This window comes from Homo sapiens, chromosome 9, assembly GCF_000001405.40.
Source record: "Homo sapiens chromosome 9, GRCh38.p14 Primary Assembly".
NCBI classification, from domain to species: domain Eukaryota; kingdom Metazoa; phylum Chordata; class Mammalia; order Primates; family Hominidae; genus Homo; species Homo sapiens.
In genome coordinates, this window is record NC_000009.12 from 63133596 (window position 1) to 63161518 (window position 27923).

At 43.7% G+C, this 27923-nt stretch overlaps 1 long non-coding RNA gene and 1 pseudogene across 3 annotated transcripts in view; both read left to right on the forward strand.

The window, feature by feature from the left end:
• The window catches only part of LOC105379814 (uncharacterized), a 35297-nt gene extending 7685 nt beyond the window's left edge, over positions 1–27612 (forward strand). The window contains exons 3-4 of one of the 3 annotated variants that reach the window (XR_001746478.3): positions 17596–17766; positions 27287–27612. This is a non-coding gene — a long non-coding RNA (uncharacterized LOC105379814). Of the gene's footprint in view, positions 1–13667; positions 13779–17595; positions 17804–27286 lie in introns of those variants that run through there. The other 2 variants (XR_007061524.1, XR_001746481.3) reach the window with 2 other exon arrangements.
• AQP7P4 (aquaporin 7 pseudogene 4) lies at positions 2–9861 on the forward strand (annotated as a pseudogene).
• Positions 27613–27923: the final 311 nt, after the last annotated feature.

The window sequence follows — 27923 nt, forward strand, 5'->3', positions numbered from 1 at the left end:
AGGTCCACCCGTGGCTCCAAAATGGTCTCCTGGTCCGTGATAGCAAAGATCCAGGAAATATGATGCGAGGAAGATGAGAGGAAGATGGCGCGAGAGTTCCTGGCCAAGTTCATGAGCACATATGTCATGATGGTGAGTGGGCGGGCAGCACGAAGTGGGTGGGCTCTGCCAGGGCCTTCCATGACCCCCTCCCCATTCTGACCCCATGGGTCACATTGTCCATTCCTTGCCTCTGAGCTGGGAGCCTGGGGAAGCAGCGAGGAAAGTAAGGCGGGGGGGCTTTCTCATCAAGTCTTTTTGGACAGAAAGGGCTCATAATATGTGGGGGTCAAATGAAACCATGCACTGGGGTATCCGGGGCAAGGCTGGAAATGGGGAGAAGGGAAACCCAGAGTAAAGAGATTGAAGAGGCCCAGGTGCAGTGGCTCATGCCTGTAATTCCAGCACTTTGGGAGGCTTAGGCAAGTGGATCACCTGAGGTCAGGAGTTCGAAACCAGCCTGGCCAACATGGTGAAACCCCGTCTCTACTAAAAATACAAAAATTAGCTGGGCATGGTGGCGGACACCTGTAATCTCAGTTATTCAGGAGGCTGAGGCAGGAGAATCGCTTGAGCCCAGGAGGTGGAGGTTGCAGTGAGCTGAGATCACACCATTGCACTCAGCCTGGGTGACAGGAGCAAAACTCTGTCTCAAAAAAAAAAAAAAAAAAGAAAAGAAAAAAGAGAGAGAGATTGAAGAGAAACTTGATGATCAGGCTCTGATAATGAATCCAGAGGGCAATGGGCGATGTTGAAGGCTGGCAAGCAGGGGAGTGACATGATCAGATTTGGATTTTAAAGGTAATTTTGGGTGCAGTGTGGAGCATAAGCAGGACAGGCAAGGCTGGCAAGAAGGAACCAGTTAAGAGGCTGTTTTTGATCTGGGACAGAGAGAGGGTGATGACTGATCTGGGGTTGGAGAAGAAAGCACATGTTTGAGAGGGCTGTGGAAGATGGAATCGGGGAGACTCTGCCAGCAGAACATGTGGGCAAAGCGCCGATGAGCTGTTCTGGAGCACGGGGCCCAGCACAGGGTGAGAGGCAAGATGCCTGTAGGGAAATCCAGGAGATAGTTAAACACAGGCGAGGGGCTGGAGCTCAGGAGAGGCTTGGTCTGGAAGGAAAAAGTTGAAGTTCATCACAACACAGGTGGTGGTTGTCAACACTGTCTAGAAGGAGTGTACAGAAAGAGAAAAGGATGGTTTGAGGACAGAGCCCTGAGGAATGAAGAGGGGCACGCAAAGGAGCCTGAGAAGGAATGGTCAGAGAGGTGGGAGGAGAACCAGAGCCGACTGCATGACAGAGGGGGGCAGTGGTTCCACCAGGAAGAAGCCGTCAGCGGCATGGGCAGCGGCAGATGGGCCACGCAAAGTGAGCACTGGCAAGGGGCCTTAGGGTTTGCCAATGTGGAGGTTGCTGGTAACCTTGACAAGGGCTCTTCTTTAGTGTGTGATTGGGACAGAATCCAGACTGCAGGTGGGATGTGAGGTTGCTCCCTCTCCACCTGCTTCAGCCCTGCCACTTACCCCAGTGAGCCTCTGCCCTTAACATGACTGTAGCCATGTTTATTGCATCTTATGCAGGGTCCAGGGTCTAGAGAAAGAAGGGGCAGCCTCTGGGAAGGGAGGCAAAGGCAGCCAGGTGCATGCTAGAGGAAGGTGGGGTGAGAGAGGCTGTTCGTGTGTGTGGTGGAGCCCATGGAGCTCAAGGGAGAGAGGGAATTGGAACACCAGGTTTCTTAGCCTGACCCTGCCACTGAGTGACCAGTTGCCTTGGGCAGGTCTCTCCCTGGCTTAAAGCCTGACTTCTCACTTATATCGTGTAGAATTAGGCCTTCGTGGGCTTTGGAGCTGTGTTTGAATCCTAGCTCTGTTATCTTCTAGCTGTGCGACTATCCACAAGTATCTTAACTGTTCACAAATTTAGCTTTCTTGTTTTTGAGACAGGGTCTCACTCTGTCTCCTAGGATGGAGTGCAGTGGTACGATCTCAGCTCACTGCAGCCCCCACCTCCCATACTCAAGTGACTCTCTTTCCTCAGCCTCTTGAGTAGCTGGGACTACAGGCATGTGCCACTGTGCTCAGCTAATTTTTCTATTTTTAGTAGAGATGGGGTTTCACCATGTTGGCCAGACTGGTCTCGAACTCCCGAATTCAGGTGACCTTCCTGCCTCGGCCTCCCAAAGTGCTGGGATTGCTGGCGTGAGTCACCTCTCCCGGCCCACAACTTTAGCTTCCTTATTGGTTAACAGGAGGACTTGTGTGAAGAAGGCCAAGTCTCAGCACCCAGTGTGGTACCCATGTATTGGTCCCTTGTTATTAGGACGGGTGCTCTAGCTGCTGTCTCCTCTCTGTCTCTGGCCCTCCCCTACTCCTCTCTTACCTCCCCACCTGCTTTGGCTCCTGAGCTGTGAGGACAGCAGTTGGATCCTGTCCCTCCTTAATCCAGGGCAAAGTAATTCACTTACCACAAGACATTCCAGCCCCATGAGGGCTGTTAACCCTTGGAGCCTCGGAGGCAGGAGGGTGCATCCTCTGAGAGCTGTTAGGGAAATAGGCACCGCCCACATGCTTGATACCTGCCCACATCTGTGTTCCTCTTCCTTTTGTTGAGATTTTCATTGAGCACCTAATGCATCCTGGGCTCTGTGATGCTAAGCCCCTTACGTGCAGCATCTTCCCAAATCCTCGCAATAGCCCTGTGAAGTAGGTACTATTATTATCCCAGTTTCACAGATGGGAAAACTGAGGCTCCTTGAGACTAAGCCTTTTGCCCAAGGTCACACTTTAAGTCAAGATTAAATCCAGTGCAGTCTAATATCACAGTCTTTTTTGTTTTTGTTTTTGTTTTTTTGAGATACAGTCTTGCTTTGTCACAGTGGTGCAATCTCGGCTCACTGCAACCTCTACCTCCTGGGTTCAAGCGATTCTTGCATCTCAGCCTCTGGAGTAGCTGGAATTACAGGTGCATGCCACCATGCCCAGCCAATTTTTGTATTTTTAGGAAAGACAAGGTTTCACCATGTTGTCAAGGCTGGTCTTGAACTCCTGACTTCAAGTGATCCTCCCACCTCGGCCTCCCAAAGTGCTGGGATTACAGGCATGAGTCACCGTGCCCAGCTCAATATCACAGTCTTGACCCTTAACCTCTATGCTCTGTACCTTAGCTTAAATATTGCCAGCTTTTAAAGACTGGCTTGTTAATGCTCCCCCAGCCAGGGTAAAGTCCTCACTTTCAGGTAGTTCAAGATGCCTCTCTCGGCCTCAGTTTCCCCATTTATAGAGTGGGAGAAAAATTCTTGCTGTGCAGATTTGTTGTGAGGATTGAAGACAGTAGCACTTGTAAAAGAACTTTGTGAGGCGTAAGCCTATATCGGATATTGTGGTGTTGTTATTTTTAGTTGCCAGGCTGTGCCAAGAAGTGAGGGCTTTTTTTTTTTTTTTGTAAATATATATATAGGAATCTCAGTGAGTCACCAGGGTGAAGTTTTGCCAAAAAAGCTAGTGTGACCTTGGCCCCATTTATTGCAGCCAGGACAAGGGAAGTGGACTGATCCGTGTTGCAGCTTCCAGGTGTGTTGCCCTTGGAGCTGGCCTCCTGGCTGTGGGGGAGAGTTGGATGGGCTGGGCCACATTCACTGATCAGGGAGAGGAGGGGCTGGAGCCATCCGGGCCCTGGAAAACCAGCCATACACATGAGACACGGGGCAAGGGTTGTAGATCACATGCTACGGGGGCCAAGAGAGCGGCAACTCAGGGCGGTGGGGACTTTGGCTGGCTGCAGAGTGCCAATCTGTGCAAGGCTGTAGAGCTGCTGCCACTCCAGCTGACTGTTGCCATGGAGGGTGGAATGCAGGCCAGTGTTGCTTGAGCTGCTCATTTTTCAAGAGAGACGGAAACTTCTGTTCTTCAAAACCAAGTTATCTAAACAAAATCTGTGCGCTGGATGAATTAGGTGCATGAGTTGCCAGTTGGCAACCCTGACACAAGGAATCATGTGGGGTTCATTCACTCACCCAGTATTTTATTTTATTTATTTTATTTTTTTGAGACAGAGTCTCACCCTGTTGCCCAGGCTGGAGTGCAGTGGTGTGATCTCAGCTCACTGCTCTGCCTCCCGGGTTCAAGTGATTCTCCTGCCTCAGCCTGCCGAGTAGCTGGGATTACAGGCATGTGCCACCACACCTGGCTAATTTTTTGTATCTTTAGTAGAGACGGGGTTTCACCATGTTGGCTAAGCAGGTCTCAAACTCCTGACCTCATGATCGGCCTGCCTCGGTCTCCCAAAGTGCTGGGATTACAGGCGTGAGCCACCACACCTGGCCTATGCTCATCCAGTATTTTTAGCACATGGTATTGGAATGCGGGAAAGGCCATGGGGGCCCCTCTGTTTTCAGACCCTCCATGCCTCCTCCAGTCCCTCTACCTCTTGACCCTGCCAGCCTGTCAACCTGTCCTGACCTCACTCCCCCCTGCACCCCCATCTGTTCCTGTCCTCTCCTGTTGTATCTTATCCTGGATCTGAAGCCAGCCTAGCTCTGGGCTCCCCTGCTCCTGTCCTGGGGCTTCTGAGGGACCCAGTGGGCCCTGCTCAGCTGCCTCTCCCCCACCATATCTGGGCTATTTCACATTTTCTCAGACTTCCCCAAAGCTGCTCTGTACTCTTTTTTTTTTTTAAATCAGCAAATGGCTTGATCTGCTGCTTGATAGGTAAAATAATCAACACTTCCTATGTTCAGCTCACCCTCTTGTCCCTCTTACCACCAGACCCATTAACCACCCGTCTATCCACATATCACCCCTTGGCTGGGGTGGGGTCCTCTCTTTCCTGGAGGACACCTCCACTTCTGCACCAATCCAGCTGTCCAGCCTATTCAGGTACTTTACTCTGTCCTTTTTCTCTGTCCTTTATCTTCAGCCCATCCCTCTCTCAGCCTATAAACATACTGAAGTTTCTCCACTGAAAACAACACAAAATGAAACATCCCTCCCTTCACCCTGTCAGCCCCTTCACGGGATCATGTTCTCTCTTCCCCGCTCCTCAGGCGAATTCTCGAAGAGGAGTCTACACTGGTGCCTTTCAACTCTTTTTTTTTTCTTTTTTTGAGATGGAGTCTTGCTCTGTCGCCCAGTCTGGAGTGCAGTGGTGTGATCTCAGATCACTGCAAGCTCCACCTCCTGGGTTCAAGCAATTCTCCTGTCTCAGCCTCCTGAGTAGCCGGGATTACAGGCAAGCACCACCACGCCTGGCTAATTTTTGTATTATTAGTAGAGACGGGGTTTTGTCATGCTGGTCTTGAACTCCTGACCTAAAGTGATCCATCCACCTCGGCCTTCCAAAGTGCTGGGATTACAGGCATGAGCCACCGCACCCAGCCTGGTCTGCCTTCTTACCTTGTACCCTCTCCTGGGGCCTTCTCCTCTGTCGGCTTTGACTTTGGCCCTTATGTCTACAATTCTTCAGGTTTTCTCCTTTATCAACTCTAGAACAGAGTTCTCCAGGGGAAATACAATACAAGCCATCTGTATAATTTAATTTTTTCTAGTATCCACATTAAAAAGGTAAAAAGCAACAGGTGAAATTAATTTTAATAATTAACCCATATAGCCAAAATCCTATTTCAAGATGCAATCAATGTAAAATTATTAGGATATTCTGGCCAGGCATGGTGGCTCACACCTGTAATCCCAGCACTCTGGGAGGCTGAGGTGAGAGGATTGCTTAAGGCCAGGAGCTCGAGACCAGCCCGGTCAACATAGTGAAACCTCATCTCTACACAAAATAAATTGAAAAACTTAGCTGGGATAGGGCTCAATGGCTCATGCCTGTAATCCCAGCACTTTGGGAGGCCAAGGCAGGCTGATCATCTGAGGTCAGGTGTTTGAGACCAGTCTGGCCAACATCGTGAAACCCTGTCTCTACTAAAAATACAAAAAAATAGTTGGGCATGGTGGCATGCACCTATAATCTCAACTACTCGGGAGGCTAAGGCAGGAGAATCACTTGAACCCGGGAGTTGGAGGTTGCAGTGAGCCGAGATTGCGCCATTGCACTCCGGCTTGGGCGACAGAGCAAGACTGTCTCAAAAAAAAAAAAAAAAAAAATTGGCTGCGTGTCGAGGCACATGCCCATAGTCCCAACTACTTGAGAGGCTGAGGTGGGAGTATCACTTGAGCCCAGGAGATGGAGGCTGCAATGAGCCCTGATCATGGCACTGCACTCCAGCCTGGGTGATAGAGCAAAACCCTATCTCAAGCATCAAACAAACAAACAAATAAAACAGAGGCACAAGAAAGCAAGGCATGCATGGAGCAGCGCAGTTGTTTGGTTTGAGGCCATCTGGCACAGGTAACTGCCTGGATTTAATCCTGGCTCACCATGTACAGGCTGTGTGACCTTGGACAAGCCATTCAAGTTCTCTAAGCTTCAGATTACCCATCTGTCAAGTGGGGGAGAATAATAGTGCTTAACTATCATTTGCAACATCTGAGTTTCTGGCTCGGCCAACGGGGATGGGGAACATAGAGTGAGGAGCAGGTGTGCTGTGAGATGGCGAACCTTCAACAGAGCCTGAGACGTCCGTGGAACACCAGGAGAGTTGCAGTGGGGATTTGCAAATAGGCATCTGGCTCCCCCACGGAGATGACGGGAATTTCAGCGCATCAGGCATAGCTGAGACTGTCTACGTGGTAAAACCATGCCTGAAAAGACCTTTGGAAAATCAGGAGGTTGCTGGAGCCCTTGGAGAGAGCTTTGGTGTCTGTGACATGTGGAAATGGAAGCCAGATTGAGGAGGGGGTGCGAGGGAAGGGGTGAAGCAGCTGGCCAGTGTGTTCTCTCCTGCAGCCTGACTGAAACAGGGAGGGGGCAACCAGGAACCCACAGCTGGAGAAGGACACTGGGCAGGGGTGGGACAGTTTGCTGGGAAGGATGAGACTCCAGTGTGTGGGAACCGATCAATGGGAGGATGGAAGGTATGGGGGAGACGGAGGCCTCTGCAGAGGGAGAGGATAGCACAGGAGCCAGGGCTGAAGGGAACAGTGGCTCTAGACTGAGGGTAATGGGCCTGAAGGTAGGCCCCTTCCCCTGTGAAGGCAGCATTATCTGAGGAGCCGTGAGGGATGGGCAAGAAGCAGCAGCTTGGGAATGCCGCCTGAGGTCAGTGGAAATGAAGCTGAGGGCAAGACAGTTAGGGCCCCACTGTTCCAGCATTGTGGGAATTGCGGTGGAGTGTGTGTGTGTAGGGAGGGGTTCCTGGCAGAGTCAGGCATGGATGGATTTGGAGGTCCCTTGAAGAAACTTCCTTCAGGTCAGCCTGAAGTGTGAGGGACTCTGAGGGGGTGCAATGCATGCCAGCCATCCCCTCCTTGCAGCCCTGCCTCACCCCAAAACTTCAGGTGGGCCTGGGGCTGAGGTGCTTGGATGTTTGTAGTAAGAGCTTCTAACTCTGCTGCTCCACCCGGCTCTCAGTGGCTCAGGTCTGAGAGGCCTCAGCAGGGGCAAGGAGAGGAGGCAGTGAGGAGGGAAGGCTCTGGAGGAAGAGGGCATGGCAGAGGGTCTTCGAGGCAACGCCAGGGAGGCCCAGGGCATGGGGGTGAGGAGCTAGAACTGAGCTCTGAGCCCTCCTCTGAGGTTGGGGCTTCTGGGAAGGCAGCCCCCTTAGAGGCCCTCCCTTGTAGGTATTCGGCCTTGGTTCCGTGGCCCATATGCTTCTAAATAAAACATTTGGGAGCTACCTTGGTGTCAACTTGGGTTTTGGCTTCGGAGTCACCATGGGAGTGCACATGGCAGGCCGCACCTCTGGTGAGTGAGCCCAGGCCCTGCCGGACCGGGCAAGACCAGGTGTCCCCAACAGGCTCTTTCCTGCCCGCCTCAGCCAGCTCCTTTGCCAGCACAGCCAGTGCCTCAGCCTGGCCACCGGGTGGGAGGAAGTCTCCTCTGAAGCCCGTGCCTATGACGTGTCTGCCCCAGATTCTTCCTGGCCCCCCCGACCTACCATTTTCACTGGCTGGGTGATCTTAGGCAAGCCATCGCCTCTGTGTTCCTCAGTTTCCTTAAGAGTGAAAGGAAGACGGTGGCCCCTGCCTCACGGGGTGGTTGTGAGGGCTCAAGGAGAGAACTCTGTCACGGAGCATGCTGTCATACACACTAGCCATCGTTGTTCTCATACTGTTTGTCACTGTTGTTTGTTCTGCTCTCACTCCCTGACACACTTGCCTGCTGCCCGCAGGAGCCCACATGAACGCAGCTGTGAGCCTCACTAACTGTGCACTGGGCCGTGTGCCCTGGAGGAAGTTTCCAGTATATGTGCTGGGGCAGTTCCTGGGCTCCTTCCTGGCAGCTGCCACCATCTACAGTCTCTTCTACAGTGAGCGTCCTGCCCGGGTGTCCGCCTCTGGCCTCAGCTGCCTCCTATGAAATATGGGCAGATTGGACCTCAGTGTCCTGATTTGTAAAAAATAGCTGGGAGAAAAAAGCCTTGGAGGTCTCCCACCCTCTAACCTATAACCTAATTTCCGGGACCCTGGTGGGGCTTAGTTGGGGACAGGTTCGCATGATAGTCTGTGTCTCCACAGCGGCCATTCTCCACTTTTCGGGTGGAGAGCTGATGGTGACCGGTCCCGTTGCTACAGCTGGCATTTTTGCCACCTACCTTCCTGATCACATGACATTGTGGCGGGGCTTCCTGAATGAGGTCAGTGGTCCAGGATGAGTACCCCTCCCCCTGCCCTCCACCCCTCAGGACGGAGCCAGCAGGGAGTCCCTCCGGATAGACAGGACAAGAACTCTGGATGGAGACTGTACCAAGATGTGTCTCTGCTGGTGGGCTTGGGTCTGGGGCACTGCCGAGGTCCTGTGGCTTGGGGAGGGGCCCAGGTGAGCTTCCACAGCATCTGCTCCTCAGGAGTGGCTGACCGGGATGCTCCAGCTGTGTCTCTTCGCCATCGTGGACCAGGAGAACAACCCAGCACTGCCAGGAACACACGCACTGGTGATAGGCATCCTCGTGGTCATCATCAGGGTGTACCATGGCATGAACACAGGATATGCCATCAATCCGTCCCGGGACCTGCCCCCCCGCATCTTCACCTTCATTGCTGGTTGGGGCAAACTGGTCTTCAGGTACTGCCCCTGCCCAGGCCCATTCCTTTGAGATTTTCTGTGGGGCCCCTGTGTGTTGAGGTGTGGGGGGTGATGTGAGGGGCAGCACAGGAGGGTCCTGCAGAGCCCCCAGGTGGCCTGGGGAGCAGGAGTGAGTCCCAACATTTCCCCAGGCCAGTACAGATACAGATCCTGCACCTGCACTGAGTGTCAACCCTGTCCCTGAATCGGGCTGAGGCTGACCAGGGCCCCGGGTTGGGGGTGTTTCCTGGGTTAGCCTGAGGATGACTCCTCTGCTCAACCAGTCTTGGCCCGAGGTGGATGAGGGTGCTGTCCTGGGCATCAGCCCCCTCAGCCGGCCTCTGCCTCTTGCCTGCAGCGATGGGGAGAACTTGTGGTGGGTGCCAGTGGTGGCACCACTTCTGGGTGCCTCTCTAGGTGGCATCATCTACCTGGTCTTCATTGGCTCCACCATCCCACGGGAGCCCCTGAAATTGGAGGACTCTGTGGCATATGAAGACCACGGGATAACCGTATTGCCCAAGATGGGATCTCATGAACCCATGATCTCTCCCCTTACCCTCATCTCCGTGAGCCCTGCCAACAGATCTTCAGTCCACCCTGCCCCACCCTTACATGAATCCATGGCCCTAGAGCACTTCTAAGCAGAGATTAGTTGTGATCCCATCCCTTCCCCAATAAAGAGAAGCTTGTCCCACAGCAGTACCCCCACTTCCTGGGGGCCTCCTGTGGTTGGGCTTCCCTCCTGGGTTCTTCCAGGAGCTCTAGGGCTATGTCTTAGCCCAAGGTGTAGAGGTGAGGCACCTCAAGTCTTTCATGCCCTGGGAACTGGGGTGCCCCAGGGGGAGAATGGGGAAGAGCTGACCTGCGCCCTCAGTAGGAACAAGGTAAGATGAAAGAATGACAGAAACAGAATGAGGGATTTTCAGGCAAGGGGGAAGGAAGGGCAGTTTTGGTGAAAGGACTGTAGCTGACTGGTGGGGGGCTGGCTTTGGAAATACTTTGAGGGGATCCTGAGACTGGACTCTAGACTCTCCCCTGGTTGTTCCCTTCCCCGAGTTCTGGCCGGTTCTTGGACCAGACAAGGCATGGCCCAAGAAGGTAGATCAGAATTTTTTAGCCTTTTTTTCATTAGTGCCTTCCCTAGTATTCTTCCAGATTTTTTTTCTTAATCACATGAAATTTTAATACCACAGATATACTATACATCTGTTTATGTTCTGTATATGTTCTGTGCTTTATACGTAAAAAAGAGTAAGATTTTTTTTCACCTCCCCTTTTAAGAATCAGTTTTAATTCCCTTGAGAATGCTTGTTATAGATTGAAGGCTGGTAAGGGGTTGGGCTCCTCTTTCTTCTTCCTGGTGCCAGAGTGCTCCCACATGAAGGAATAGGAAAGGAAGATGCAAAGAGGGAAATCCTTCGAACACATGAAGACACAGGAAGAGGCCTCTTAGGGCTCCAAGGGCTCCAGGGAAGCAGCTGCAGAGGTTGGGTGGGGTGAGGGGCCAGGATCCACTGACCCTGGGGCCAGGCAGGAATCACTCTGTTGCCTGGGGCTCAGAAGGCAGTATCACCCATGGTTCCTGTCATTGCTCATGTATTTTGCCTTTCAACAATTATTGTGCACCTACTGTGTGCAGGCCCTGCCTGGACACTGGGGATGCGCAGTGGATGCACTGGGCTCTGCCTTTGAGGGTTGCAGTTTAATGGGTGACAGGTAATTATAAGGAAGAAGGTGAGTGCAGAGTGGGAGGCTTGGAGGCTGTGGGGCTTGGGGTGGGGGAGCTCACATCCAGCCTCTGGGCCAAGGCCAGGAGGTTTCCCAGAGGAGGAGACAGAGCAGGGTATTGTGGTGGGGGGTGTCCTTTTTGGGGCTGGGATCTGCACTTTACAGTTTGAGGGGATGGGCAGAGGAGGCTGGGCTTCATTCTGGAGGTGGGGACATGGTGAGGTGAGGTTTAGAAAGCACACCTGAGCCGCAGTGTGTAGGATGCTGGAAATGGTGGAGATGGGCCTGCGAAGAGAGTGCTGGGAAGTGATGACCCAGGAGCAGCAGCCGGGCACCTAACAATGGGTCAGCACCGTGGGCGTGGAGACAAGGGCCGGGATTGATCAATACCCGAGAAGTACAATGTACAGGACTTGGGCTCCATTTGGATGGAGTGGGTGAGGGAGGAGTCAGAAATGGCTTCCGGTTTCCAGCTTGGGCCCGGGGATTGGAGATGTCCCCACTGAGAGTAGGGCACAAATGAGGAAATGGTTTGGAGAGGAAGATGATAAGTTACATCATGGATGTGCTGAGTCTGAGTTGCCTATGGGACTTGGAATGGGGGGTGGCAAAAGGTGTGTGATCTTGAGCAAGATATTCAACTCTTCTGGGCCTTGGTCTTCTCATTTGTAAAACGGTGATAAGAATATTACTTCCCATTTGTGTTGCTGTGAATATTAAATGCGCTACCACATGTAAAATGTTGAGAATCGTTTCTAGCTCAGAGTAAGTGCTCAATAAACACCATTACGCCTTTTATATGGTCTGGAGCTCAGAAGTGGAAGACAGGGTTTTGTGAAGTCATGGCTTTGTGGATGTAGCTAGATTGTGGAGTAATGGCAGGAGGGTCGGGGGCATGGCACAAGGTAGGTGGTCAAGAGACACTGGACACAACCCAAATGTCCATCCACAGGGGAACAGATACATACACTGCTGCGCAATTGCACATAATAGAATCCTCTACAATAGCAAAAATTAAGGCACAACAGACACCTGCAACAACACAGAAAAATTCTGGAAGCATAAAAAGTAATACAGTAGCTGGGTGTGGTGGTTCACACCTGTAATCCCAGCACTTTGGGAGGCCAAGGTGGGTGGATCACGAGGTCAAGAGATCAAGACCATCCTGGCCAACATGGTGAAACCCTGTCTCTACTAAAAATACAAAAATTAGCCGGGTGTTATGGCACACACCTGTAGTCCCAGCTACTCGGGAGGTTGAGGTGGGAGAACTGCTTAAACCTGGGAGGCGGAGGTTGCAGTGAGCCAAGATCACATCACTGCATTCCAGCCTGGCGACAGAGCGAGACTCGGTCTCAAAAAAAAAAAAAGCCTGGTGTAGTTGGGCACCTGTAATCCCAGCTGCTCAAAAGGCTGAGGCAGGAGAGAATCCCTTGAACCCGGGAGGCGGAGGTTGCAGTGAATGGAGATTGTGCCACTGCACTCCAGCCTGGGTGACAGAGTGAGACTGCCTCTCAAAAAAAAAAAAAAAAAGTAATACGGTAGACTATATACAGTGTGACACAATCTTGTAGCTGAAAAATAAGCAAAAACACATTATTTGATATATATATGTATGTAAGAAAACTATTTTAGAAAAAGAAATAATTCCTACAGGCAGATGGGGAAGAACACAGGAGTAGTACAAGCTATTAATAATTTTCTAGTTTTGGAGTTGGACATTTGTGGGTTTATTATATGATTGTGCTTGATAACATATAAATGTGATACATATTGTTTGTATGAGATATATATATATGTGTATATATATATATATATATATATATATATATATATATATATATACACCCACACACAGATAGATGATTGCTGACAAGGAGTTTCTAAAGATCATATATATATTTTTAGGTAAAATAGAATAACATTCTGCTTCTGGTCTTCATAATAAAAGAGAAATCAGGACTAAGAAATCAAGTGTTTATTATATAGAGTTTTAATTTTTATTCTTTTATTTATTGATTTATCTTCTTTAGGCATGTGCAGAGATGAACTCACTAATTGTTCAAAATAAACAATTTGAATTCAAAGCAAAGTATATTTTTGGAATATCAATTATCACTTATTGCAGATAAATGATAATATAAAACACCAACTTTGGAATTTATTTGTTTTACTTCTGTGACTCTCAGCCTTCTTTTTAAAATATAGTGTATGTTTTAGGTAAGTCCAGACAGCAGCCAGCACTGCATTTGGTTTAAAATCCAGCTTTATAACGACTTCATCTTTCAACCAGCCAAAGGGTAGTTACCTTGTGTCTGCCATCGTGCATATGCTCTCAGCTCCTGACTGAGAAAACATGCCTACAAGCACTTCCCTGCCTGAGATTATATTAAAAATCCATACCTGTGCTAGCAGCATGAGTTCAAGTTGATTATTGTTCTAGATCTGTGACTTCCCATTCATCCTCCTAAAGATATAAATGATTGCTTTTCAATAGACCACATACATAGGAATGATTATGAAGGCAAGGTTTAGTAACAATAATATACATAGTACTCTAATGGGATTGAATTGGAACACCCACATTAAACTCTCTTAAAATATATGGAGCAGAACACATGAGAGAAAGCAAAAGAACAAGTGCACACAGCAGAGCTGCGAGTTGCATACTCTGTGCATGCTAATACCATCGCAACAACATCACTAAGGCTTCTGGGTAACGTTTGCCACATCATATTGTGACGTGCATTTGTTTTTATATTTTACCCTAAAAGGCAAAATAACTCTCCATGTGATGACAGAAGGAGCACACACAAAAAAAACCCTCTCAGAAATATTAAAATGGTTGCAGGTAATTCAAATGGTATACTGTTTTAAAAGGTACTTGTCTAAAACTTTAAGTTGGAGAAGCATCTTGGAAGTCATTAGATCCATATATACATTACTTGAATTGTGACCCTAGCTTGACATTTCCATGGTGGGAGACATATTTTATTTAGGAGGCAGCAGTCTATTTAGTTTTTGAGAGCTTAATCGATAGATAGTTCAGATTTTCTACTGAACCAAAATCTAAATGCCTACCCATTGGTTTTCGTAGCCAACGTCAATATCCAACTGCTCTTTCACACAACATGGCTTCAAAGGCTATGTAACTAACATCATGCCACTGCACCTATGTCTTTTTAAAGCCAAGTACCTCTAGTGCCCCTCATTATAGCTCATATTTCAAGGTATCTTTCAGCAACAATGAATTGCATTAATCAAACTCACTTTTTTTGCGTGTGCTTCACTTTATAGCTCTTCACAAATAACACATTTTTCACAAATTGAAGGTTTGTGGCAATCTTGCATCAAGCAAGTCTATTCATTCTATTTTTCCAACAACGTGCTCACCTTGTGTCTCTATTTGACATTTTAGTAATTATCACAACATTTCACATTTTTAAATTATTATTATTATTTTAAATATTTTAACTTTTATTTTAGGTTCATGGGAACGTGTGGAGGTTTGTTCTTTAGGTAAATTCGTGACTCAGGGGTTTGATGTACAGATTATTTTGTCACCTGAGTAGTAAGCATAGTACCCAACAATTTTTTTTTCCCTGAACCTCACCCATCTCTCATCCTCCTCCCTCAAGCACACCCTAGTGTCTATTGTGCTGCTCTTTCTGTCAATGTGTTCTCATTATTTAGCTCCCAGTGATAAGTGAAAATAGGGAGTATTGGGTTTTCTGATCCTGTGTTACTTTGCTAAGGATAATGGCCTCCAAGCTCCATCCATGTTGCCGCAAAGGACAGATCTCATTCTTTTTTATGGCTGCATAGTAATTCATGGTGTATATGTACCGTACTTTCTTTTTCCAGTCTACCACTGATGGGAATTTAAGTTGATTCCTGGGTATCTATTACCTAAATTACATATAAAAGCAGAAAAGAAAAATGACAAGTAGAACATGAAAGTTAAACAGTATCTTTTCAGGTTCAATGACATAAATATTCTTATTATCTAAAGGTATAAAGTCTAATGTTTTATTTCCTATAGTGCTTTTATAGCAAAACACTTTTCAGAATTAGATAAACCAGATTGAGGCCCCAGTCTTACTACCTATTAGCTAGGTAAACTTGAGCTTTGGGATTTTCAGATTCAGATCTTGCAGGCAAATAAGATTTATTTGATATTACTTGAGGATGACAATGTCTATCTTGCAGATTATTATGGTAATGAGTTTATTTATGTGGATTGTTTTAGGATATTTTAAAACTATGTACAGACCTAAAAAAATCCTCATAATCTTTGCAGAACTGGGGAGGCATACAGGCATAATACAACTGTAAGAGTTACTGTTTCTCATGCTTTTGTTTTCTAACTGCTCTGGCCACTGTTTTAGAAGGAAGGGTGAATATATGTAAATATTCCTGAAAAAATAAAGTTTTAGAATATTAAATTATTACATATTTCATTCAGAATTTTTTGAAAGGTAAAACCAATGATTGAACGTAGTTCATGGGATGATCTGGTCCATATTCATCTACCATGATTTAACAAATTTTTTTTCTCATCTATTGATGAGGAAAAAATTAAGGGGAAATGTAGAAATGTAAGGTAAATGATCTGCAAAGAAATACACACAGGAGGTATGTGGGAATGTAACAGTGTAGGTCCGCAGGCAAACTAGGTGAAGGAGGAAGGTGAGGAAGAAAGGCATTTAAGACTTACTCTTTCTGTTTTCTTCTCAATTTTAAAGCCTGATGGAATATAATTTTCTCTACAGTAAATGTTGAATGAAAATCAGTTTTGTATGTGTTAATAATGACTTCACCAAGAGCATTTGAAGCTCTGTCTATCATATTTTGATGCTCAAAATAAAACATTGTTTTTATAGCTTAATAGTCTCATACAGTCAATTATTGCCTCCCCTCCAGACTGACACTTTGAACATTATTATTAACACTGCTGTCCTTAAACCATCATCGGCCTGCAGTGCAGACAATTTATTGATAGCTAATAAAACAGTGTTCAGATGCTGCCTGAGGGCAGGATTCAGAATTGTCATACCAATGCATAACCACATTTGATTTTTTGGAACAAGTTCCATTACTTAAAAATTATGGTTTCATTTTCTTATTTTTATATCTAGATTTTAACATTATATGCATGCCTATATAAGCATTAAATATGTTATTCAGTTATGTGTGAGTGTAACTCAAATTTCTTGTAATGTGTATGTACAGTTTAATATAAGACAGATTATTGATTAGGAAATAGTTAACAATTAATAATAGACATTGGCCAACCTCAATTACTAAACCAGAAAATAAGTTTATTTATTTATTGTATTATTTTTTTATTATACTTTAAGTTTTAGAGTACATGTGCACAATGTGCAGTTTATTTAAATGTATTGACTGTTTTTTAGTCACTACACAAATCATCTAAAAGAAAATACCACAGATGAAACCTGCAGATCCACTAACTAGTTATCAGTTTATCAAGACTGATCGTGTCCACTCCCTTCAGAAATCACATGGATTTGTGCATTATGCAGATCTTTTTTGGTCTTCCCCATCTTTTCCCATCCTGAACTAGAAGTAGAAGCCTATTGCATTTTTATCTGGTACTTTCTTTTGCATTTAGTAGAAATACATACACATACTACCCTAGGCTACTCCGCAGTACATTAAAATTTCCTTTTGCTTTCCAGTAATTTCAAATATCTCAACTAAATATCTCAGTTGAAAAATCAAAGTTTTAATTCTTATCCATCTTTCAACATAAAAACTTTTAATATTGATTATAATGTGTTGTCTGCACTTTTGTTTTTTTTTGTTTTGTTTTGAGACGGAGTTTCACTGTGTTGCCCAGGCTGGAATGCAGTGGCTAGATCTCAGCTCATTGAAATGTCCGAGTTTAAGCAATTCTCCTGCCTTAGCCTCCTCAGTAGCTGGGATTACAGGCAAGCACCACCATGCTCTGCTAATTTTTGTATTTTTAGTAGAGATGGGGTTTCACCATGTTGGCCAGGCTGGTCTCAAACTCCTGACCTCAGGTGATCCTCCCGCCTCGGGCTTCCAAAGTGCTGGGGTTATAGGCGTGAGCCACCCTGTCTGGCCCAGCACTCTTAATAGATATATAAATCTTACTCTATTAATTGAACTAAGAACATCTTTATAATTTTCCAAATATCATTTATAATTATTAAATATTAAAACACATTTATTCTGCTTAACAAACTTTGCATCTCCTCAGAATGCCTAAATATTTTGCCATATGAAGGTTCCAGTGGAAGTTTCAGACAATACATTTTGATGGCAAATGGTGAATTTTCCTATTGAGAAATATGTTGATTACAAGAAATAAGAGAGACAGTAGATTTTCAAAACCTTTTCAAACTATTTCAGATGAATATTCAGAATTATTTTACTTATAGATTGCACTCTTCTAAGGAACTTACATATTCTGACAACTATGTGTTTTTGAAGCAAATTTTGACTGAATTAATAAATGACAGCACAGATCAAAATTTAAAAACTTACAAAATTCTCAATAGATTTCACAATTGTGCAAAGTCCCATGCTTTCTTTTAATATTGTATACTTACTATACTTTTAAGGGGTACTTTTTAACAGTTGATTTATTATCAAATAAACTTTCTATAATTTGACAGAACAACATAAATTCTTGTTTTTCTCCTTTCTACCTAGAACATACATATGATAGTTGAGAAAGACACATATTCTGATCATGAAGAAATAAACACAAGTTAAATATGACTAAGCAGAAAGATGGAAGGACCAGGAACGGTGATGCTAACTTGGAACCACGATGCAGGCTCTAATCTCCTCTACAATCATCCTCCCTTGTGAGAAAAATACGTAAGTCACTTTTAAAATAAATAGAAACCTGAACACACTTCTTAGCTGGTTTAAGTATTTTAAAAACATTGATGAATTAAACACAGAAATATGGGGAAATCTCATTACTTACCTTAAATTTTGAAATTTTCTTTACAGATCATGAGTTACTTAATGCTCTTTCACTCCTGAGTTTACATTGTAAATTAAAGTTATGTCAGCTTTAAAAAATAACCAATTAAAAATAATGATCTAAATTTATACTTTAATTTTAACGAATAGTATTATCTCTTATTATTTACCTCTGATAAAGTCCAAATGTTTGTAGGCCTATAGCTCTGGTTATATACAATGAAATATCTTTCTCATGAGTGTAGACTATCTAGATTATATTTAATGCATTTACTTTTTGAGGAAAAGGAAACCCTTAATAAAATAGCTTCAAATATTTGGTTTTAAAAAATGAGAAAACAAATACATTACAGGACTTTTGGATTTATCACCAACATGTGAAGGGCTCAGAAGTTGTCATTCCTGGCCTTACAATAATAATAATAATAAAAGCTATACAAATTGAAAATCAATGACATTTCCACAGTGGGAGACATATTTTATTTAGGAGGCAGCAGTCTATTTAGTTTTTGAGAGCTTAATCGATAGATAGTTCAGGTTTTCTAGTGAACCAAAATCTAAATGCCTACCCATTGGTTTTGGTAGCCAACGTCAATATCCAACTGCTCTTTCACACAACATGACTTCAAAGGCTATGTAACTAACATCATGTCACTGCACCTATGTCTTTTTAAAGCCAAGTACCTCTAGTGCCCCTCATTATAGCTCATATTTCAAGGTTTTCTGTTCCTGCATTAGTTTGCTGAGGATAATGGCTTTCAGCTCCATCCATGTCCCTGCAAAGGACTTGATCTCATTTCCTTTTATGGCTGCATAGTATTCCATGTTGTATATGTACCACATTTTATTTGCCCAGTCTATCATTGATGGGCATTTGGGTTGATTTCATGTATTAGCTATTGTGAATAGTGCTGCAATGAACACACACATGCATGTATCTTTATAATAAAATGATTTATATTCCTTTGGGTACATACCTAGTAATGGGATTGCTGGGTCAAATGGTATTTCTGGTTCTAGGACTTCGAGGAATTGCCACAGTCTTCCACAATGGTTGAACTAATTTACATTCCTACCAACAGTGTAAAAGCATTCCTATTTCTCTGCAGCCTCAACAGTATCAGTTGTTTCTTGACTTTTTAATAATCACCATTCTGACTAGTGTGAGATGGTATCTCATTGTGGTTTTGATTTGCATTTCTCTAATGATTAGTGATGTTGAACTTTTTTTTTGCATGTTTGTTGGCCACATAAATGTCTTCTTTTGAGAAGTGCCTGTTCGTGTCCTTTGCCCACTGTTTAATAGGATTGTCTGTTTTTTTCTTGTAAATTTGTTTAAGTTCCCTGTAAATTCTGGATATTAGACCTTTGTCGGATGGATAAATAGCAAATTTTTCTCCCATTCTGTAGGTTGTCTGTTCACTGTGATGATAGTTTCTTTTGCTGAGCAGAAGCTCTTTAGTTTAATTAGACCCCATTTGTTAATTTCTGCTTTTGTTGCTATTGTTTTTGGCATTTTTGTCATGAAATCTTTGCCTATGCCTATGTCCTGAATGGTATTGCCTAGATTTTCTTCTAGGGTTTTTATAGTTTTGGATTTTACACTTAAGTCTTTAACCTATCTTGAGCTAATTTTTGTATAACGTGTAAGGAAGGGGGTCCAGTTTCAATTTTCTGCATATGGCTAAAGTTCTTCCATAGTTCTTCCAGCACCATTAATTAAATAGAAAATCCTTTCCCCATTACTTGTGTTTGTCAGGTTTGTTGAAGATCAGATGGTTGTAGCTGTGTGGTCTTATTTCTGAGTTCTCAATTCTGTTCTATTGGTCTATGAGTCTGTTTTTGCACCACCACTATGCTGTTTTGTTTACATGCTGGTTTGGTAGCCTTGTAGTGTAGTTTGAAGTAAGGTAGCATGATCCCCCCAGCTTTGCTATTTTTGCTTAATATTATCTTGGCTCTACAGGCTCTTTTTTGTCCATATGAATTTTAAAACAGATTATTCTAATTCTGTGAAAAATGTCAATGTTAGTATAAGGGGAATAGCATTGAATCTATAAATTACTTTGGGTAGTATGGCCATTTTAATCATATTGATTCTTTCTATCACTTCCCTTCTTAGCTGTATTCCTAGGTATTTTATTCTCTGTAACAATTGTGGAATTGGAGTTCTTTCATGATTTGGCTCTCTGCTTGTCTGTTGTTAGTGTGTAGGAATCCTTGTGATTTTCACACATTGATTTTTTATCCTGAGATTTTGCTGACAATGGGGTTGAGACAATGGGGTTTTCTAGATAAAGGATCATGTCATCTGCAGAGACAATTTGGCTTCCTCTCTTCCTATTTGAAAACCATTTGTTTCTTTCTCTTGCTTAATTGTTCTAGCCAGAACTTCCAATAATATGTTGAATAGGAGTGGTAAGAAAGAGCATCCTTGTCATGTGCCTCTTTTCAATGAAAATGCTCGCAGCTTTTTCCCATTCAGTATGATATGGGTTGTTAGTTTGTCATAAATGGCTCTTAATATTTTGAGGTATGGTCCTTCAATACCTAGTTTATTGAGAGTTTTTAAAATGAAGGGATGTTGAATTTTAACATGAAGTGTTGTTGAAAGGCCTTTTCTGCATCTATTGAGATAATTATGAGGTTTTTATCTTTAGTTCTGTTTATGTAATGGATTACATTTATTGATTTGCATATGTTGAAACAGCCTTGTATCCCGGGGATGAAGCCAACTTGATTGTGGTGGGTAAGCTTTTGGATGTGCTGCTGGATTTGGCTTGCCAGTATTTTATTGAGGATTTTTGCATCGATGTTCATCAGGGATATTGGCCTGAAGTTGTCTTGTTTTGTTGTATCTCTCCCAGGCTTTGGTATCAGGATGATGCTGGCCTCATAACATGAATTAGGGAGGAGTCTCTCCTCTTCAATCATTTGGAATAGTTTCAGAGGAAATAGCACTGGCTCCTCTTTGTACATCTGGTAGAATTCCACCATAATTCCATTTGGTCCTGGTCTTTCATTGGTTGGTAGGCTATATATTACTGCCTTAATTTCAGAACTTGTTATTGGTCTATTCAGGGATTCAACTTCTTCCTGGTTCAATCTTGGGAGTTTATGTGTCCAGGAATTTATCCATTTCTTCTAGATTTTCTAATTTATTTGCATAGAGGTGTTTATAGTATTCTCTGATGGTTGTTTGTATTTCTGTAAACTCAGTGTTCATATCCCCTTTATCATTTTTTATTGTGTCTATTTGATCTTCTCTCTTTTCTTATTAGTGTAGCTAAAAGTCTATTTTGTTAATTTTTTTCAAAAAAACAGTTCCTGGATTTGTTGATTTTTTGAAGGGTTTTTCCTGTCTCAATCTCCTTTAGTTTTGCTCTGATCTTACTTATTTCTTGCCTTCTGCTAGCGTTGGGGTTTGTTTGTTCTTGGTTCTCTAGTTCTTTAAACTGTGATGTTAGGAAGTTGACTTGAGATATTTCTCATGTGGATATTTAGTGCTATACATTTCCCTCAATGCTGTTTTAGCTGTATCCCAGAGATTCTGGGACATTGTCTCTTTGTTCTCATTAGTTTTAAATAACTTCTTGACTTCTGCCTTAATTTCATTTTTTACCCAGTAGTCATTCAGAAGCAGGATGTTACATTTCTATGTAGTTGTGTGGTTTTGAGTGAGTTTCTTAATTTTGAGTTCTAATTTGATTGTACTGTGGTCTGAGAGACTATCAAGATTTTAGTTATTTTGCATTTGCAGAGGAGTGTTTTACTTCCAATTATGTGATCGATTTTAGAGTAAGTGCCATGTAGCTCCAAGATGAATGTATATTCTGTTGTTTTTGAATGGAGAGTTCTGTAGATACTTATCAGGTCCACTTGATCTACAGCTGTTTGAGTCCTGAATATCCTTGTTAACTTTCTGTCTTGATAATTTGTCTAATATTGACAGTGGGGTGTTAAAGTCTCCCACTATTATTATGTGAGAGTCTAAATGTCTTTGTAGATCTCTAGGAACTTGTTTTATGAATCTGGGTCTTCTAAAATTGGGTGCATGTGTATTTAGGATAGTTACCTCTTCTTGATGAACTGAATACTTAACCATTATGTAATTCCCTTCTTTGTCTTTTTTTATCTTTGTTGATTTAAAGCCTGTTTTCTCAAACACTAGAATTGCAACCCCTCCTTTTCCTGCTTTCTGTTTGCTTGGTAAATTTTCCTCCATCTCTTTATTTTGAGCCTATGTGTGTCTTTGCATATGAGATGGTTCACCTGAATACAGCACACTGGTGGGTCTTGACGATCCAGTTTGCCAGTCTTTGTCTTTTAATTGGGACATTCAGTCCATTTACATTTAAGGTTAATATTCTTATGTGTGAATTTGGTCCTGTGATTATGATGCTATCTGGTTATTTTGCAGACTTGTTAATGTTGTTGCTTCATAATATTATTGGTCTGTGTACTTTACTGTGTTTTTGTAGTGGCCGGTAATGGTTTTTCCCTTCCATATTCAGTGCTTCCTTTAGGAGCTCTTGCAAGGCAGTCTTGGTTGTGATGAATTCCCTCAGTATTTGCTTGTCTGAGAAGGATTTTATTTCTTCTTTGCTCATGAAGCTTAGTTTGGCCAGACATGAAATTCTGAGCTGGAAATTCTTTTCTTTAAGACTGTTGACATGAAGTCCTTGCCCATGCCTATGTCCTGAATGGTAATGCCTAGGTTTTCTTCTAGGGTTTTTATGGTTTTAGGTCTAACGTTTAACTCTTTAATCCATCTTGAATTGATTTGTGTATAAGGTGTAAGGAAGGGATCCAGTTTCAGCTTTCTACATATGGCTAGCCAGTTTTCCCAGCACCATTTATTAAATAGGGAATCCTTTCCCCATTGCTTGTTTTTCTCAGGTTTGTCAAAGATCAGATAGTTGTAGATATGTGGCATTATTTCTGAGGGCTCTGTTCTGTTCCATTGATCTATATATCTGTTTTGGTACCAGTACCATGCTGTTTTGGTTACTGTAGCCTTCTAGTATAGTTTGAAGTCAGGTAGTGTGATGCCTCCAGCTTTGTTCTTTTGGCTTAGGATTGACTTGGCAATGCGGGCTCTTTTTTGGTTCCATATGAACTTTAAAGTAGTTTTTTCCAATTCTGTGAAGAAAGTCATTGGTAGCTTGATGGGGATGGCATTGAATGTGTAAATTACCTTGGGCAGTATGGCCATTTTCACGATATTGATTCTTCCTACCCATGAGCATGGAATGTTCTTCCATTTGTTTGTATCCTCTTTTATTTCTTTGAGCAGTGGTTTGTAGTTCTCCTTGAAGAGGTCCTTCACATCCCTTGTAAGTTAGATTCCTAGATATTTTATTCTCTTTGAAGCAATTGTGAATGGGAGTTCACTCATGATTTGGCTCTCTGTTTGTTTGTTGTTGGTGTATAAGAATGCTTGTGATTTTTGTACATTGATTTTGTATCCTGAGACTTTGCTGAAGTTGCTTATCAGCTTAAGGAGATTTTGGGCTGAGACAATGGGGTTTTCTAGATATACAATCATGTCATCTGCAAACAGAGACAATTTGACTTCCTCTTTTCCTAATTGAATACCCTTTATTTCCTTCTCCTGCCTAATTGCCCTGGCCAGAACTTCCAAAACTATGTTGAATAGGAGTGGTGAGAGAGGGCATCCCTGTCTTGTGCCAGTTTTCAAAGGGAATGCTTCCAGTTTTTGCCCATTTAGTATGATATTGGCTGTGGGTTTGTCACAGATAGCTCTTATTATTTTGAAATACATCCCATCAATACCTAATTTATTGAGAGTTTTTAGCATGAAGGGTTGTTGAATTTTGTCAAAGGCTTTTTCTGCATCTATTGAGATAATCATGTGGTTTTTGTCTTTGGCTCTGTTTATATGCTGGATTACATTTATTGATTTGCATATATTGAACCAGCCTTGCATCCCAGGGATGAAGCCCACTTGATCATGGTGGATAAGCTTTTTGATGTGCTGCTGGATTTGTTTTGCCAGTATTTTATTGAGGATTTTTGCATCAATGTTCATCAAGGATATTGGTCTAAAATTCTCTTTTTTTGTTGTGTCTCTGCCTGGCTTTGGTATCAGAATGATGCTGGCCTCATAAAATGAGTTAAAGCAATGGCAACAAAAGACAAAATTGACAAATGGGATCTAATTAAACTAAAGAGCTTCTGCACAGCAAAAGAAACTACCATCAGAGTGAACAGGCAACCTACAAAATGGGAGAAAATTTTCGCAACCTACTCATCTGACAAAGGGCTAATATCCAGAATCTACAATGAACTCAAACAAATTTACAAGAAAAAAAAAACAACCCCATCAAAAAGTGGGCGGAGGACATGAACAGACACTTCTCAAAAGAAGACATTTATGCAGCCAAAAAACACACGAAAAAATGCTCATCATCACTGGCCATCAGAGAAATGCAAATCAAAACCACAATGAGATACCATCTCACACCAGTTAGAATGGCAATCATTAAAAAGTCAGGAAACAACAGGTGCTGGAGAGGATGTGGAGAAATAGGAACACTTTTACACTGTTGGTGGGACTGTAAACTAGTTCAACCATTGTGGAAGTCAGTGTGGCGATTCCTCAGGGATCTAGAAGTGGAAATACCATTTGACCCAGCCATTCCATTACTGGGTATATACCCAAAGGACTATAAATCATGCTGCTATAAAGACACATGCACACATATGTTTATTGCGGCATTATTCACAATAGCAAAGACTTGGAACCAACCCAAATGTCCAACAACGATAGACTGGATTCAGAAAATGTGGCACATATACACCATGGAATACTATGCAGCCATAAAAAATGATGAGTTCATGTCCTTTGTAGGGACATGGATGAAATTGGAAATCATCATTCTCAGTAAACTATCGCAAGAACAAAAAACCAAACACCGCATATTCTCACTCATAGGTGGGAATTGAACAATGAGATCACATGGACACAGGAAGGGGAATATCACACTCTGGGGACTGTTGTGGGGTGGGGGGAGGGGGGAGGGATAGCATTGGGAGATATTCCTAATGCTAGATGACGAGTTAGTGGGTGCAGCGCACCAGCATGGCACATGTATACATATGTAACTAACCTGAACAATGTGCACATGTACCCTAAAACTTAAAGTATAAAAAAAAAAGACTGTTGAATATTAGCCCCCAATTTCTTCTGGCTTATGGGGTTTCTGCTGAGGAGTCCACTGTTATTCTGATGGACTTCCTTTTCTAGGTGACATGGCTCTTAAAAATTTTCCTTCATTTTGACCTTGGAGATACTGCCCATTATGTGTTTTGGGTTGATCTTCTCATGGATCTTACTGAAGTCCTCTGAATTTCCTGAATTTGAATGTTGGCCTGTCTTGCTGGGTTGGGGAATTCTCCTGAATGATTTCCTGAAGTATGTTTTCCAACTTGGTTTCATTCTCCTCATTTCTTTCAGGTACCCCAATCAGTTGTAGGTTTGGTCTTTTTACATAATTCCATAGTTCTCTGATTATTTTTCATTCCTTTTCAGTTTTTTCTCTAATCTTATCTGCCTGTCTTATTTCAGCAAGATAGTCTTTGAGCTCTGAGATTCTTTCCTCTGCTTGGTCTATTCAGTTATTTATGCTTGTGGTTGCATTGTGAAGTTCTGGTGTTGTGTTTTTCAGGTCCATCAGGTCATTTATGTTCCTCTATAAACTGGTTATTCTGGTTTACAGTTCCTATAATGTTTTCATGATTATTAGCTTCTTTGAATTGTTTTAGAATATACTTTAGCTCAGCAAAATTTGTTATTACCCACCTTCTGAAGAATACTTCTGTCAGTTCATCCACCTCAAGCCTCCACCCAGTTCTGTGCCCTTGCTGGAGAGGTGTTGCAATCATTTGGAGGAGAAGAGGCATTCTGGCTTTTTGAGTTTTCAGCATTTTTGCATTGATTCTTTCTCATCTTCATGAGCTTATCTATCTTCGATCTTTGAGGCTGCTGATCTTTGGAAGGGGTTTTTGTGGGGCCATTTTTGTGGATGTTTTTGTTGTTGTTGTTTTCTGTTTGTTTGTTTTCCTTTCAACAGTCAGACCCCTCTTCCTTAGGGCTGCCGCAGTTTGCTGGGGGTCCACTCCAGACCCTATTCACTTGGTCCCTCCCCTACCTGGAGGTGTCACCAGTGGAAGCTGCAGAACAGCAAGGATGACTGCCTGCTCCTTCTTTTTTGAACTCCATCCCAGAGGGGCACTGATGTGATGCCAGCAGGAACACTCCTGTATAAGGTGCCTGGAGACCCCTGTTGGTGGTCTCAATCAGTTAGGGAGTATGTACAGGATCGGGGACCACTTAATAAAGCACTCTGGCTGCCCCTTGGCAGAGAGGGTGCACTGCACTGGAGGGAATCTCCCTTGTCCAGAATGTCCAGACCCTTCAGAGCCAGCAGGCAGGAAAGACTAAGTCTGCTGAACCGCAGAGACTGTGGCTGTCCCTCCCCACAGGAGTTCTGCCCAGGAAGATCAGAGTTCTGTCCATAAACCTCTGGCTGGAGTTGGTGAAATTCCCACAAGGGGGCCCCACCCAATGAATAGGGATGGATCCAGGTTCCACCTAAAAAAGCAGTCTGGCCATGATCTGCCACAGCTGCTGTGCTCCCGGTCTAAACCTCCCTGTCTCCCCAGCACCACCAGGGGAAAACAGCCAACTGATGCCACAGTGATAGCAACCACCCCTTCCCCTGGGAACTCAGTCATCTTAGACAGTCTCCAGTCTGCTGTCACTGGCCACAGCCTGAGCGGTGATGAGAGTCTGCACAGCTCTGTGCTTGGCACCCAAGGCCCTGGTGGTGTGGGCTCACAAGGGGATCTCTTGATCTGTGAGTTGCACAGATCCATGGAAAAAGCATGGTTCCTCAGGAAAGGGAGCACAATCACTCACTGCCTCCCTTGACTGGGGGTGGGAGTGCCCCTTGCCCCATGCAGCTCCCAAGTGAGGCATTGCTCCACCCTGCTTTTCCTTGCTCCCTGTGGGTCAGGCCAATCACCTTGTCACTCCCAGTGAGAGAATCTGGATACCTCAGATGAAGGTGCAGAATTCACTCGCCATTTTTGTTCTTCTAGATGGGAGTCACAGACCACAGCTGCTTCTAATTGGCCATCTTGGCACCTCCTCATTTAACCTTCTTTTCTCATCTAAAGGGGATAAAGGATGAAACTGTCCCAAAGAAAAGTTTATAAACCAATTAAGGGAGAAAATAAAATTCAACTAGGCTTGCAGAATAATCAGTGGCAATCATGAAATCCACTTCCCAATTTGGCCTACTTCCTTGTAGCTAGTTACTTCTTACTCCCCCAAGATAGTGTAGCCCTTGTCACAAGAATGTGTTCCTTTTCTTTTCTATAGATAAGATCTAAGGCACATGAGATGATACGCTTTCTGTTTGAGTTTCTCCTTTATGTTACGCATACTGATAAAATTGTTGACGCCAGTTGATCTGAAGGTCCCAGCAAGGAGCCGACTCACAGAAGAATGCAGTTTTCACATTGTGATGATTTAATCTTCCTTGACCTGAGCAATTGACAACCCCAATTCTCCAGAACCTCACCCGCCACAATCCCCTTAAAAACCCTGGTCCAGAACCCCTCAAGCAGACAGATTTGAAGCTTGAGGATTCCTTCATCTCTTTGCCCAATGGCATTGTGATTATTAAACTCTTTTTCTGCTGGAAATTATGATGTCTCAGTGTATTGGTCTATTGCTGCTCAGTGGGCATATGAATCTGGCAGTCCTGTAACAGGGACAAAAGATAAACTACTGGCAAAACACTCGTAAAAGTCATAACCTAAGACATAGGCCCACTGAAAGGCGGATATTCAATCAGAGCACTATAGAACATATTTCTCTGCTCATACCATAAAATTTAAACCAACATGACTCCAATATAAGGAGACAGACAAAAGAGCTATAAGAAACAGACACTGTTTGAAGATGAGTACTTAAGGAAACCTAAAGTTAAGGGAGGAGACAAAAACAAGGACAC